At 46.4% G+C, this 14,390-nt stretch overlaps 1 protein-coding gene across 8 annotated transcripts in view, besides 2 other annotated features; it reads left to right on the top strand.

The window, feature by feature from the left end:
* CALN1 (calneuron 1) overlaps window positions 1-14,390 on the top strand; it is a 724,789-nt gene that overhangs the window by 92,468 nt on the left and 617,931 nt on the right. For 2 of the 8 annotated variants that reach the window (XM_017012676.3, NM_031468.4), the window contains exon 2: window positions 8,370-8,561. The exons of 5 other annotated variants lie outside the window; for them this stretch is intronic. In XM_017012676.3, coding sequence (XP_016868165.1) covers window positions 8,443-8,561 — 119 coding nt within the window. In that variant the 5' untranslated portion in view covers window positions 8,370-8,442. Of the gene's footprint in view, window positions 1-8,369; window positions 8,614-14,390 lie in introns of all 8 variants that reach the window. One more of the 8 variants, XM_047420910.1, reaches the window with a different exon arrangement.
* Window positions 5,367-6,566: an enhancer, noted in NCBI's record as "MED14-independent group 3 enhancer chr7:71870231-71871430 (GRCh37/hg19 assembly coordinates)". NCBI's record gives its function as "activates an origin of replication core promoter dependent on BRD2, BRD4, P300/CBP and CDK7 cofactors, and independent of MED14, by STARR-seq in HCT116 cells {active_cell/tissue: HCT116}" and the evidence as "EXISTENCE:reporter gene assay evidence [ECO:0000049][PMID:35650434]".
* Window positions 6,064-6,113: a silencer, noted in NCBI's record as "silent region_18238". NCBI's record gives its function as "represses an Ori minimal core promoter by ATAC-STARR-seq in GM12878 lymphoblastoid cells {active_cell/tissue: GM12878}" and the evidence as "EXISTENCE:reporter gene assay evidence [ECO:0000049][PMID:35858748]".

The raw sequence follows: 14,390 nt of genomic DNA, 5'->3' as shown, positions 1-14,390 counted from the left end.
TCTTATTACTTTAAAAGAGTAATTACTTTATTCCTTAGCAATTACATTCATGTCAATTTTCAGGATAATGAGTTGTACCATATTTGGTGATTGGCTGTGTCTTCCAGTTAGTTTCTCTGTCATTTGGCATCATTGAGAACTTATCCACTTTTAGGCCTGACAAGACTTTTCGTATTTCCTCCCATGGAGCTGATTACTTAGCCGGAAGTGGTATTTTGAGACTACAATTTGAGTGCTCATTGCCTGAGTTTTATTACCTTGACGTCTTTTCAGTGACACAACTGATACGTCCATATTTTTTTAAAGACAAAAATAAATTGAGTTCACAGTGATATTTTTATTCAAACTAGATTTCAGAGTTTTTACTTAACCTTAAAATTGTTATATTTACAGCTCTTTTCTCTAACATAGAAAATCTTGATTCCTAATGATGTTACATGAATCTCTTTTGTATGATTTCTTTGTGGTTCTTTTTGTCCTGAGACTTAGGTCTCACGTGGAAAGCTCAGTCAAAATATTATGTTCTAAAGTAACTTGAAAAAAACGGTTTTCTCTGTAGTTAAGCCATTAACTTGAAATACAGTTGTGTTTGCATGTTTCAGTTCATTTTCTATTTTAAGGAATTGCTTTGCTTTTTCCTTTTGATAGTTTTTTTCAAATCTGTAAAACCTTTATGTTTGCTCTTATAAATAGGCTCTGCTCATACATTATCTTCTGTTTCTACACATGTCCTGTTAAATTCTGTATGTTGGTCTTATTCTAATGCTTTACTAAATTCACCTATTATTTGTAATCGTTTTTTCATGAATTCTTTGGGATTTTCCATACATATAATCATATCACCTTAAAATAACTTTATTTCTTTTCCCATCTTATGCCTCTAATTGTCTAATCATGTTGGTTAATGCCTACAATACAGTGTTAATAGTAGCAGAGATAGTAAACATCCTTGTATTTTTTCTGATTTTAGCAATAAAGTTTCTAGTGCTTCTTGGAAAGTAAGAAGGTAGGGTGCTGGCTCGTGAGCTGATACGGAGGTGTGTGTATTTATGTTCAGGAAATATATATAGTTCCCTATTTTACTCTGATTTTCAATGTTAATTTAATTGTGAGCCGTTCATAGGGTCTTGGTTTTCATTTTGAAGAACCAGGGTTTAGGGTGTTTTGCTTATGCGAATTTAAGCCAGGACATGAAGGGACATTAGGGCTCCTGAGAAGTCTCACTTGCAGAAGAATTGAGCTGATTTGAAAAGCTCATTTCAGTTTTCAGATGTGGACTTAAAATTTTGGCTTTGCTTGTGTATATATTTTATTTCCGTGATATCTAATTGGTTTTGGGCAGAGATAGGGAGAAAACAACTTTGATTTTACATCATGTAGAAGGATTTCGCTTTTGCATCTTTCAAGGAATTCCATGGACATTTTCTACGTCCTAGATTGGCAGTTTTAGATTTCTTTTTTGTGCTTTTGAATACATCTTAGTAGTAAGATATTCAAAATGATGGCCAACAATCACCTTTGCAGAGTCAGTAACACAAGTGCAGTGATGAGACTTCATTGCTCATAAGCAGTTAAGTAGATTTGACAACCTCTCTTACATATTTAAGAGCTCCAGGCTCTCATGTTCCAGCAAATGCAGGGCTTAGCTTTGGGGCAGGCTGGAGCTCACACTCTGCCCTGTCGTCTTTTTTGTCAGCAACTCGTACCCCATTACACACCATATGGCATGACCCGCACAATGGAACATTTTGTCCAAAAGATATCTTCAAGAAAGAATTATGTTCAGTTATAACAAAAATAAATTCTTTTTGTGGGTTAAATGTGGTGCATCTTTGCAGGGTTTTAGAGGAAAGGACCAAGGGGAAAACCATTATCAAGCATTACAGGGAAAAAACTGATTATAATGTGGCCCTCAACAATTGTAAAATCTAGCAGAGACCACAAGATGCAAAAGAAAAGACTGTAACTTGATGCCCAACGTGGTTAAAAGGGAGGGAACGTTCCTTGGTGATTCTTTGAATTGGGTCTTCGAGTAACAGCCTGGGAACCACTGTTCCATGGGGTCCCAGAGGCTAAAAACCATTTAACCCATGCTTATGAATTATTTATGCCCATAAACAATGCAGGTTCATCCCTCTCCATTCCCAAACATTAGATTTTCAGCTCAATCTTGCTCCCAGTGATTGGAATTTTAGATACTTTGAAAGGGATCAAATCCATGAAAGACTTTGGTGTGCTGAGTCTGCTTGTAACCCATGCACCAGATTGGTTGCTGAAGGCCACAGACGCTGAAATAATGAGGTTGGCCAGTCCACTCAGACTATCCATATGCCTCCTTCCTCAGAGGCTGGCACAGAGATCCGTTTAAGATTATACTCTGCGCCAGCCTCTGAGGAAGGGAGGTATGTGGATACAGTCTGAGTGGACTGGCCAACCTCATCATTTCAGCCTCTGTGGCCTTCAGCAACCAATCTGGTGCATGGGTTACAAGCACAGAGGTCCATTTAAGAGTATGCTGGGCCAGGTGCAGTGGCTTCTGCCTGTAATCCCAGCATTTTGGGAGGCCGAGGCGGGTAGATCATGAGGTCAGGACTTGGAGACCAGCCTGGCCAAGATGGTGAAACACTGTCTCTACTAAAAATGCAAAAATTAGCCAGGAGCGGTGGCGGGCGCCTGTAATCCCAGCTACTGGGGAGGCTGAGTCAGGAGAATCTCTTGAATCCGGGAGGCGGAAGTTGCAGTAAGCTGAGATAGTGCCACTGCAGTCTAGTGTGGGCCACAGAGCAAGACTCTGTTCCACCGCTGCCCCCCTGCCCCAAAAAAAGTATACTTGGGGCCAGGTGTGGTGGCTCACACCTGCAATCCCAGCACTTTGGGAGGCTGAGGTGGGTAGATTACTTGAGCCCAAGAGTTTGAGACCAACCTGGGCAACATGGTGAAACTGCATCTCTACAAAAAATACAAAAATTAGCCAGGAGTGATGGTGCCCGCCTGTAGTCCCAGCTACTGAGGGGACTGGAGGTGGCAGGATCACTTGAGCCCGGGAGGTTGAGGCTGCAGGGAGCTATGATTGCGCCTCTGCACTCCAACCTGGGTGACAGAGTGCAACCCTGTCTCAAAAAAAAAAAAAAAAAAAGGAAAAGATAATAATTGGTGGTCATTTGTATGTCTTTTCATGACCACCATGCAATCCTTGCATGTAACAAAATTGCACTTGTATCCCATGAATTTATACAAAAAATTATCCATGATGACCAGGGCCTTGTTGGTTTTGTCACCAACATCACCAACATATTCCAGTTACGCTCTCTGACCTTCACGTCTAGAGAGTCTTTGTCTTTATTATCTCTGTGTGTGTGTTTAATTTTTTTCTGAGACCGAGTCTGTTGCCCAGGCTGGAGTGTAGTGGCGTGATCTCAGCTCACTGCAACCTCCACCTCCCGGGTTCAAGTGATTCTCTTTCATGCCTTACCCTCCTGAGTAGCTGGGACTACAAGCGTGAGCCACCACGCACTACTAATTTTTTTTTTTTTTTTTTTTTAATAGAGATGGGGTTTCACCATGTTGGCCAGGCTGGGCTCAAACTCCTGACCTTGGGTGATCCACCCCCCTTGGCCTCCCAAAGTGCTGGGATTACAGATGTGAGCCTCCATGCCAGGCCTACGGTTTGTTTTTAACGTCAATATGGAACCAAAGGGAACTGGCATTGATTAAATGTGTGTTCAATATATGTTTATTGAACACCAATTATTTCAAGGTTGCTCCTGCCTGCGCCTAAATGCCATACAGTGCATATTTGCATACCTAGTGCCACAGAAGGGGAGAATCAAAGTCTCCCTTCTTGGATACTCTCAGGAACAAGCTGATCCTCCAGACTGAAGGAGTAGGGACAATCTTCCCCGGTTCCGTGTGTTTGTGTCTGAGTTTCCAGCTTGACTCTCTGAGCTCCGTGAGGCTACATCTGTGGTGGATTCATTTCCACACATCCCACCTCCATCCGGCCCTGTGTCCAGTCCAGCGCCCATCTGAGCTGAGAAGCTCAGTCAGTATTAGTGCAAAAAGAAAAAATGGAGAATGATAGTGTATTAGTCTGTTACTGCACTGCTCTGAAGAAATCCCTGAGACTGGGTAATTTACAAAGAAAAGGGGTTTAATGGGCTCACGGTTCTGCAGGCTATACAGGAAGCATGGCTGGGGAGGCCTCAGGAAACTTACAATTATGGTGGAAGGCCAAGGGGAAACAGGCATGTCTTCACATGGCCAGAGCAGGAGGAGAAGAGAGGAGGGAAGCAGCAAAGTTGTTTGCACACACTTGCAACAACCAGATCTCATGAGAACTGTATCACAAGAACAGCATGAAAGTGGGAAAAATACACCCCCGTGATCCAGTCACCTGTTACCAGGCCCCACCTCCAACATTGGGGATTACAGTTTGACATGAGATTTGGGTGGGGACACAAATCCAAACCGTATCAGGTGGCTAGCATATGTAGCACCTGCTCTGTGCCTAACACTTTACAATAACTTTAAAAGGTAGGTGTTATTATCAGGTTCATTTTGCAGATCAGGAAAGTGAAGCCCAGAGAGGTTAAGTCACTTGCCCAAGGTCACACAGCCCCTAAGTGGCACAGCCAGGATTTGAACTGGATGGTCTAATTTGATTAGTGATGTTCTTAACAATATTACTTCACCATTCTCTGCATATTGTGGGTTGGTAAAAGTGATGCAGGTGATAGAGTACTCAAAGCGTAGACCCAGGGCTACATCACTTTTTGGGTGGATAAGAGTGCCTCCTACTGGTCTGAGCCCTGAAAGAGTGACTGGGCAGTGTTCCAGGGGCATTTTCAGTGCTAAAGGAAGTGGGTAGGTCACCTATTGGAATGAAAAGCTGACAAGGGGCTGGCGCGGTGGCTCATGTCTGTAATCCCAGCACTTTGGGAGGCTGAGGCAGGCAGATCACTTGAGGTCAGAAGTTCAAGACCAGCCTGGCCAAGATGGTGAAACCCGTCTCTACTAAAAATACAAAAATTAGCCAGGCCTGGTGGTGTGCACCTGTAATCCCAGTTATTTGGGAGGCTGAGGCAGGAGAATGGCTTGAACCTGGGAGGCAGAGCCTGCAGTGAGCAGGGATCACGCTACTGCACTCCAGCCTGGGTGACAGAACAAGACTCCGTCTTAAAAAAGAAAAAAAAAAAAGCTGACAAGGACCCTCATGTGGGTCTAGGAATTAGCCCAGAGATCTAACTTCAAGACTGGGGCTCAAAAATCCAGCTCCTTCCGGCTGACCTTTCAGATGACGATTGTAAAGGCAATTAGCAAATGGACTTTAGAGGACAAATTCTGGAAATTAATCACCCTTAGGAATCGCATCAGGAAATGAGATAACCGGTTAATTTGGGGACAAGGAAGCTCATTGGGAAATGCACCTTGGGTCCCAAGATGCATAAGGCTGTGAGGACTCAGGAGGTGCCTGTGTCTTGGAGAAGCTTCCAGTTAAATTGGGGGAAGATGGAGGTCTGTCTTATGTGCAGATGCCAACATGGGGTGCTTCATTAGTTGGCCGACGGTGGTTAGTCCGGCTTGTGCAGGGCTGCTTGGCTTCCCTCGTTACGCCAGCAGGCAGCTGTGACTGGGAGAGGGGAATTCTGGAGAGACGGCTTCTGGCTATGGGAGCCAGCTCCATTTTGGGTCCCCTGGCTTTGTGTTTCTCTGGCACATCGCGAGTGCCGCAGTGAGGGCACCAGAGCCAGCTGAGCAGCAGGAGCGATTGTTCCTTACGGGGAGCTGCCACCTTCAGTGCCGTGCGCCTGTTGAGCTGTGGGCAGGTTCCAGGTCATTAAGTGTATTGGGCTCAGAAGCCTGGCGACCATCAGCTCCCGACAGTTCTCATCTGGGTGCCTTGCTCTGATGTCCACACTGCCTGGGGGGACCTGACAAGAGAAGGGACTCAACATATTCAGAAGTTTTTGCATATGGGGAGCTAATTACTGCTTTTTGAAATATGCATTTACCACCAATCACAACTTCCATGGTGCTGGGGACTGCCATGGCAACTAAAAGCATATCTGAAAATAAAATGTCATTTTTTTTTTTTGCGTTTCTACTGTAATGACACACTTGCTTCTCCTGTTTAACTTAACGAGCTAACTAGAGAAGTCTCCAAGAGTTTCGGCATGTGCCGCGTGTGTGGGGAAGTGGGCGTTGTAGTGTGTGTGAATAGATGAGTCATAGGCATGTGTAAGAGAGCGGCGTACGGGTGTGTGCTGCTGGGGACAGAGTGTGCAGCTGTGTGAAGTTGCGTGGGAGCCATGTGGGTGTGGGGGTGAGTGCTCCTGGGCATATGTCTCAGGAAACAGGCGTGTGAAGACATGCCTGTTTGCCCTTTGCCTTCCACCATAATTGTTAAGTTTCCTGAGACCTCCCAAGCTATGCTAGATGGGTCTCAGATCATCCCTAGGCTATGAGTGTTACAAGGCTGGTCTGTGAGCACGCATCTGAAGACCAGTGCTGTTGTGTGTGTGTGCATGTATGTGTTTGAGGCCAAGTACTGTTGCATGGGTGCGTTGCACATGTGCTGTTTGGTGAGATGTGACTTCTTGCTTTGAGACACTTACTCTCTTTAAGGTGTCTTTGAGATCCCAACCCTTGGGAAGTGCCGGCCCAATCGCAGGACATAACACCCTTCCTGTCGTATCTCATCATTCCTGTGGGATGGAGGGCTTAACTCCATCCCACAACCATTGGGGAACCAGAGACCTCGGAGGTTGGGGCACCCAGACACCATCTGGTCCAGCTCTGAGCTAAGACCATGGGGGTTTCTGGTTCAGATGGAAATTACAAAGCATCTAGTTGGTTTATGTGTCTGTCCGTCATTCATTCACACCAGTAGCTGATGAGTTACTCACAGGGCTTTGGGCTGAGCCTCTTTCATTTGAGCCGATTGAGGCTGACTTTCAGTGGGTACTGTGCGTGCAGATTTACAACAACCTGCAACAATAATGTCCACCATCCACATACAGCTCTTCAAGCCTTCTTCCTGCTTTCTACAGTCATTTTTTGAGCCTGATCTTCTAAGAGCTGACTTTGATAGGAGACCACTTCCCAGGCATGAGCATGCACCTCTCACCAGAATCGAGAGAGTAGAAAGAGGGCAGAGGGACTCTTCCCAGGATACAATGTTCAGGGGCCAAGTAGTGAGAAATGGAGACTCATCTGTGTGTTTCTGCGAGAAGCCATTGCCTGCTGCAATGTGTAGACGTTCTTATGGGTACAACTCTCTCAGATGGGGCCCTGATCCATGGTGGCCGGGGCTTTGTTGGTTTCATCACCAACGTCTTCCATTTACACTCTCTGAACTTCACATCTCAAGAGAGTCTTTGTTTGTCTTTATTATTGTTTGTTTTTACCTTCAATGAAACCAAAGAGAACTGACATTGATTAACTGTGTGTTCAATACATATTTATTGAGCACCAATTATTTTAAGGTTGTCCCTGCCTGGGCCTAAATGCCACACAGTGTGCATCTGAGCTCTTCCCTGCCTGGGGTTTTTCTCAACACAATGTTGGGAGGAGGGGATGGAGATTGTGGACAAATGACAGTAGAAGTAGGCAGAGACGAGGGGTGCCTTAACCCAACCAAGGGAGAGGGCCAGGTCAAGGACAACTTTTCAGAAGAGGTGACACCTGAGCTGAGTTGTAAGGGACAAGTAGGTGGTAACGATACCAGAGAGAGGTAGAAAGAGGATGTTGCCACTTGGTGACATCAAGTGGACCTAGAGATTCCATATGCATGGGTTGCAGGTCTGCCCTGGAGCTGGTAATGGGATGCCATCTTGGATGCTGTATGCTTTAAGGAAGTTAGGAGGGTATTGCCCTGGGATTGCGACAGCATGACTAAGTTTGGGAGGCTGGGCCAGAGTCCTTCACCGTTAGACGGTGATTTCCAGCTCAGTCCCCCATTTAGTTTCTGTGGCTTTCCTGGTGTCAGCAGCAAGGAAACAAATGATGCTGGCAAGATGTTTTGCTTCCTTGCAAGTTGCAATCACTTTGGCGGCTATAGCTTTCTCCACACTGCACATACTCCAGCAATGCCCACGGGGGTACGAATGGAAAAATACCTGTAAATATTAAGGTTGGCTCCAAAAGCCCATTATTGGCTTGTTGTGCAATACCCTCTGGTGACATTGAGGCCTTATTAATAACTAAACATGTGTCTCAACTGTAATTATATTTCTTGTGCCAGGATTGTGTTTCTACCATTGTCCTGTGTAAACACGGAAGGGAGGGTGTGAATTATTTAGGCGGCAGGCTTTGAGAAGAATAATCGCCCAGCACTGTGCAGGCTGTAAGTTTCTGTCAACTCCTTTCAGAGTCTCAGTGCCTTCGCTGACGTTCCTTTGATGAGCTTCTAACTCTCTCTGAGAACATCGCCCTGGACCCCCGATGCGGCTGCCAGAGCAACCCGGAGAGGGGAAGCCCGAGAATGAGAAAAAGGGGGACGGAGGAGCCCTCGGAGGGGGAGAGGAGCCGCCGAGGAGCCAGGCCCCCGACTTCCCCACCTGGCAAGTCTTCTTCCCCCAAACCCAAGGACCTAGATTGTTTGGCAGCCCTCAGGTAGGGGGTGGCGCGGGGTCCAGGAGGCTTTGCCGCTGCTGCGTGTCTAGGCTGGAGAGGAGAATCTATGAAATGGACACCTGGGAGAGCTGTCCTGGCTGGGTACAGAGATTCTATCCCCTTTCTTGAGCCTATTTGAGATGTGTGGATGGGATGAAGGGATGGGTTTGCAAACTGACTCTTGGGGAGGGACATGCTTGTTTTCAGGTGAACAATGACAAATACAACTTACAGAGTGTGGACTATGTACTAGCATAAAAATGGGAGCTTTGCATAGACAATTTCAATCAATTCTCAAATAATTTTATGAGGGTATTGTTAATCTCGTTTCGACAGGAGGAAAGTAACACAAACAGGCAGCTTGACTGAGATCACAGCCAAAGGCAAACCTGGGATTCCTACCCAAGTGTCTTTGAATCTCACCCCATCCCCCACCAAAAAATTATGCTCCTAACCACTAGGCTACCCTGTCTGTCTCTGGTCATTGATGCGGTCAGTTCGGGGTGAGGAGTTTTCTATGCTACCAAGCCACAGGCCTCCCTGGGTTTTTGATCTTGCTCTTTTTTCTTTTCCTCGGAGACCCTCATGGCTATACAAACTCAAGAGGAATTTCAACTCTGGGTGTGGTTTGGTATAGAACACAATTTTGATCTTTGTGGATGCTGGCATCAAGGAATTGGTCTGTGGTGAGTCCTATAAATGGGTACATCCTGAAATTGTCTCCCTAAGGCTGTTCAGAATGGGATCTCCAGCTTTAGCCACCAGCTTCCAGTGGCGACTGTAAGTGTATATGGTGGGGGCAGTGAGTTTAGAGTTAGGCTTGTGGGGAAGAAAAGGAAGTGGATGTATTTTTGGTGACTAGAGCTCCTGATGTTCAGCAGTTTCTCCCATGAGCAGGGAGCTAGGCTGTGGGACCCAGGAACAGGATGCTACAAGACTCTGTTCAGAATCTTCTCCAACACAACTTGACATTTGAGAAGTCAAGGGCAGGAGCTGATGAGACCCCTGGCCAAGAGAACGCTTACCTACTGGGGAAGCCACTCTCTTAGCCTCTGAGGAAGCATCTGGAATAGGACAATGTAAAGCTGGAAATGACAAATGCTGAAGGGCAGGCTCAGAGCAAGGAAGAGCAAGGAAGGTTGGCTAGAGTCAGAGATCATCTTGGGATGGTCTCCCCATCCCAGCTCATCCCTTCCAGGAGAGGACCTTCCACCAAAGGCAGGCATGGTTGGACTTTTACCAGCCTAGGATAAATGAAAGGATGTTGAACACTTCCCCTGGAAAAGGGGGTGGGGCATGTTGAGAAAAGGAGGTAAGAATTGAGTAAGAGAAACATTTTGGTAAGTCCTAGGAGGGCTGCCTTACAGAAAGCTGGTGTGACGGAGGAAAGGGATATTTGCCTACCTCTAGATCTGAGGATATCACACAGCAAACAGACAAATCTTTTTGCTCAACACACTGTTACATTAAAAATGTTTCCTCATTTGTTCCTGAATTTTGGGAATTTGGAATTTTTTGGCAAGAGTTGCGAGCAGCGTGAATTAGGCAGTTGAGTGTCACCTGCCTCTGGGGGACAGTGATGACCCAAGGAATCAGTTTCTCCCAAGGCATGTGCTTCTCCTTTGGGGCTGAACATGAACTCCCTTTAGACCCTGGGGCTAAGGGTCTCTACACCTTCTGGCTTGTTGCAGTCACACATTTGTGTGCGCGCACACACGCACTGAACATGTTTCTGTTTTTGTTATTCCTTGGGGATGTATCCACACATTCCTTAAAGATTTTCTTTGTGCAGTGGGCTGAGAGAGAGAAAGCCAAAAAGCAGGGGATCGGGTGGGGCCAGAGGAGGGAGATCTGTGGTCAAGGTCTTGGCTCCAGGGAGTTGGATGTGGAGGGGAGTGAGAACACAGCCCATCAGGAACGTGTTCTCCCCTTAGGTTCAGCAGTAATGTTATCTCTCAGAGTGCATTGCCTCCTGCCCTTCAGTTCTTTGGTTGGGAACCTCCTTCAGGTAAAGCACTGCCTGGGTATTGTGAGACCCTTGAGAGAAAGGAGTAGAAGAGAATGCAGTCCCCATCTATAGGTCATCTTTTCCAGGTACATTGAGAGAAGCATGTTGACACCTTAGCAAAAACGGGCACCAGGGCCCTCCTCTCACCCCAAAGCATGCTCAAAAGAGAGCCACCACTGTTTCCTCGCTGCAGTGGCCTGAGTGGTTATGCACAGTGTGGGCAGGGCAGGCGAAGTTAGAAAGCAGAGAGGAGTCTCCTTGATGTGTCTCATCTTCCATCTCCAGATCACTTTCACACCTCCCAGAGCCATATTGGTTGCAAGGGACAGAAGCCCAGGAGAGTTATCAGAAGTAAAAAGGGAAACATGTTAGGGAGATATCCATGGGAGTGGGCAGAGGGTGGGTCTCATGAAATCTAAGGCCAGAGGTGCAGCTTTGGGATTACAGGTGGCCACCACCAAACCCAGCTAATTTTATATTTTTCGTGGAGACGGGGTTTCACCATGTTGACCAGGCTGGTCTCAAACCCCTGACCTCAAGTGATACACCTGCCTTGGCCTCCCAAAGTGCTGGGATTATAGGCTTGAACCATGATGCCTGGCCTTGATTCCTTCTTAATCTCGCCTCATGTAATGTAGCCTCTGCTCCCATCAGTTTACTGATCAGATTCTGGAGGGAACAAGAGCTAGTGTCAGAGAAGGAGCAATGCCAAGCAATGGCCGGTTCAAAATTTAGCTCATCATCAAGGACCTAGAAGGATGTGGAAAATCTGAGAAAGCTAAGTCTCTTGGGTTTCTCTGTCCATATGAAGATGATTCCTGTCAAATAGCTATCTGTTTGACAGTGATTAAATGGAGGAATCAGTGTGGTCTCAATTCCAAATCCCCTGGGAAACAAGCTCATTGCTGTCCACTCCAGATCAAATCAGTAGTGCCCAAGAGAAGAGGGTCAGATGCATGAACGTAGCTGCTGCCACTATAAATGGGTGGACAGAAGATGGGGAGGGGGAATGACTAGAGAAGCGGGGTGCCTCCTCACCCCCATGTATTAGTCCGTTTTGTGCTGCTATAAAGGAATACCTGAGATTGGGTAATTGATTAAAAAAAAGGTTTATTTGGCTCATGGTTCTGCAGACTGTACAAGAAGGGGATGGCCTAATCTGCTTCTGCTGAGGACCTCAGGAAGGTTCTAATCATAGTGGAACGCAAAGGGGGAGCAGGCATGTCATATGGAGAGAGAGGGAACAAGAGAGATGCCAGGCTCTTTTTAACAACTAGCTCTTGCATGAACTAATAGAGTGAGAACTCACTCATTATCACAGGAAGGGTGCCCAGGCATTCATGAGGCATCCGCCTGCATGACCCAAACACCTCCCACTAGGCCCCATCTCCAACACGGAATCACATTCCAACATGAGATTTGGAGGGGACAAATACCCAAGCTATATCCCTCCAGTTCCTTGAGCTATTAGATGTATGTCTTATTCTTGGAGTTAGTTGACTCTCCATGAAGTGCTGGGAAAGTATTTGCTATTAAGGCTTAAGTTGGAGCTTTTTAAGAAGGTGATCCCTACAAGACTCAAATTAGTGAACTGTGACTTACGGAACAAAAGCAATAGGTTAGGTCAGGCACGGTGGCTCATGCCTGTAATCCCAGCACTTTGGGAGTCCGAGGTGGGTGGATCACGAGGTCAAGAGATCGAGACCATCTTGGCCAACATGGTGAAGCCCTATCTCTACTAAAAATACAAAAATTAGCTGGGGGTGGTGGTGTGCGCTTACAGTCCCAGCTACTCGGGAGGCTGAGGCAGGAGAATCGCTTGAACCTGGGAGGCGGATGTTGCAGTGAGCCAAGATCGCGCCACTGCACTCCAGCCTGGTGACAGAGTGAGACTCCATCTCAAAAAAAAAAAAAAAAAAAGCAATAGGTTAGACAAAACCGGCTGGGGACTGTAGAGGTAGGGACACCACCCTTCCCACAGCCAGCCAGCCTTGCAGCCCATTGTCCTCCCATTTGTCAGCCTACGTTACTGCAGAAGATCCTAGATTGTCCGCTCCTGTCTTTGCTAAGGTGTCAGCATGCTTCTCAATGCATCTGGAGGAGGTGACCTGTAGATGGTGACCTCCTTCTCTTCTACTCCTTTTTCTCAAAGTTCTCACAAGGGAGTGAAGCAAGGAAGCCCTGACCTTTTTTCTAGCCTGTCAAGGTGACTCCTTGGCATGGAGGTCTGAAAGGACACTCTAGCAGGAGGAAGCAGTGGGTACCTCCCTCAATTCACTGTGTGGTCTTGAGCTCATCTTTGGCTTATAATGGAAGGGTTGGGTGTGATCGATGGTGTTTAATTTTTTTGTTTCTGTTTATAGAAACTTTTCTAAAGTCATATGGGGAATGCTAATACTCAGAGGACCCACTTTGGTTGGAGCAAGGTGTGTGCGTATGTATTTGGGATAATGGGGTGTCCCCCAGGACCCCTAAGAGGAGCAGTGAAATCCTTCACTTCTTTACTTCTTGTCCAGACTATGAGATTGGGAGCTCTTTGGAACAGGTCTAGAGCTGACTCATCCATGATGCCACCTAGAAGACAGATTCCAGGGACTAGAGTGATGCCCAGGTAGCTTCAACAAATGCCAGCTAAATAACCCTACCACTATGGTGTGGCTTCAGCCCAATCCAAAGGAAGCTTTTTTATTCATGTGGGGAGAAGTGGATGTGCACTATTGATATGTGATCTAAAAATAACTCATGTTCCAAACAAAGTGTTTTTTCGTATTTTGAAATGAAAACGTGTAGACAAAGCAAGGAATTTAGAATGCCTGACTCATTAAATTGCCGACTCTGAAAGCAATGGAAATTCAAAGGGAACTTTTCTCTCTAGTTTTCCCTCCCACCCCTGCTCTGAATAGCTTATAAAAAGTCTACACATAAACAAGACCTGTAAACTTCCTTGTGACGGAAGGTCCTGCACAGTGAGAGGCTGAAGGAACTCAGCCTTTGTTGCCTGGACGCTGAGCTGCTCTTCCTTGCTAGATTGGAATCATCAGCTGGACTCCTCTTTGCTTGCCATCTTTATTTCTCCTCTTCTTGCCTCTCTTCCCTGTCCCTAACAGGTGTCCAAGGGCTTCCATCATGGCCCTTCTCTGGCCAATGGTCCTACTTCCCCACAATGCTTGGCTCTTCTGGACTTCAGTGGTGCCGAACTCATCGGCCCTAAAAGGATGCATCATCCAGGAGCTGTGTCTTAGGGGAGAGTGTACCTCACGTGGCATGCTAGCAGGATGCAGCAGTGGGTACCTTCATCAAGCTCATCCTTGGCTTATAATGGAAGGGCTAGGCATGATCAATGGTGTTTAATTTTTTTTTGTTTTGCTCATAAAAGCTTTTCTAAAGTAAGTCCTAAGGGTAGGCTAATACTTAGAGGACCCACTTTGGTTGGAGCAAGGTGTGTGTGTGTGTGTGTGTGTGTGTGTGTGTGTGTGAGAGAGAATGGGTGCTCTCCAAGATCCCCCAAGAGGAGCAGTGAGATCCTTCACTTGAAGAGGCTACTGGTAGACCTTCATGTGCTTGTTCCTAACCATTGTGTAAAAATCTCTGCCCCATTGAGGAACACATTTCCTGACTCCCTCTTCCTCATTGCTGTGACCTGCTTTTCTTCTAGTCACCCCTTCACTCCTGGAATTCCCTAGCAGCTTATTCATTCTTATATCTGCTGCAAGTCCTGATCATACTGGGGAGATGAATGAGCATGGAGATGACCAGGCAACATTCTCAC

The sequence above is a fragment of the Homo sapiens genome, chromosome 7, assembly GCF_000001405.40.
Source record: "Homo sapiens chromosome 7, GRCh38.p14 Primary Assembly".
Classification (NCBI taxonomy): Eukaryota; Metazoa; Chordata; class Mammalia; order Primates; family Hominidae; genus Homo; species Homo sapiens.
The sequence above is the reverse complement of the archived record's forward strand: the minus strand, read 5'-3'. Positions and strand labels throughout refer to the sequence as shown.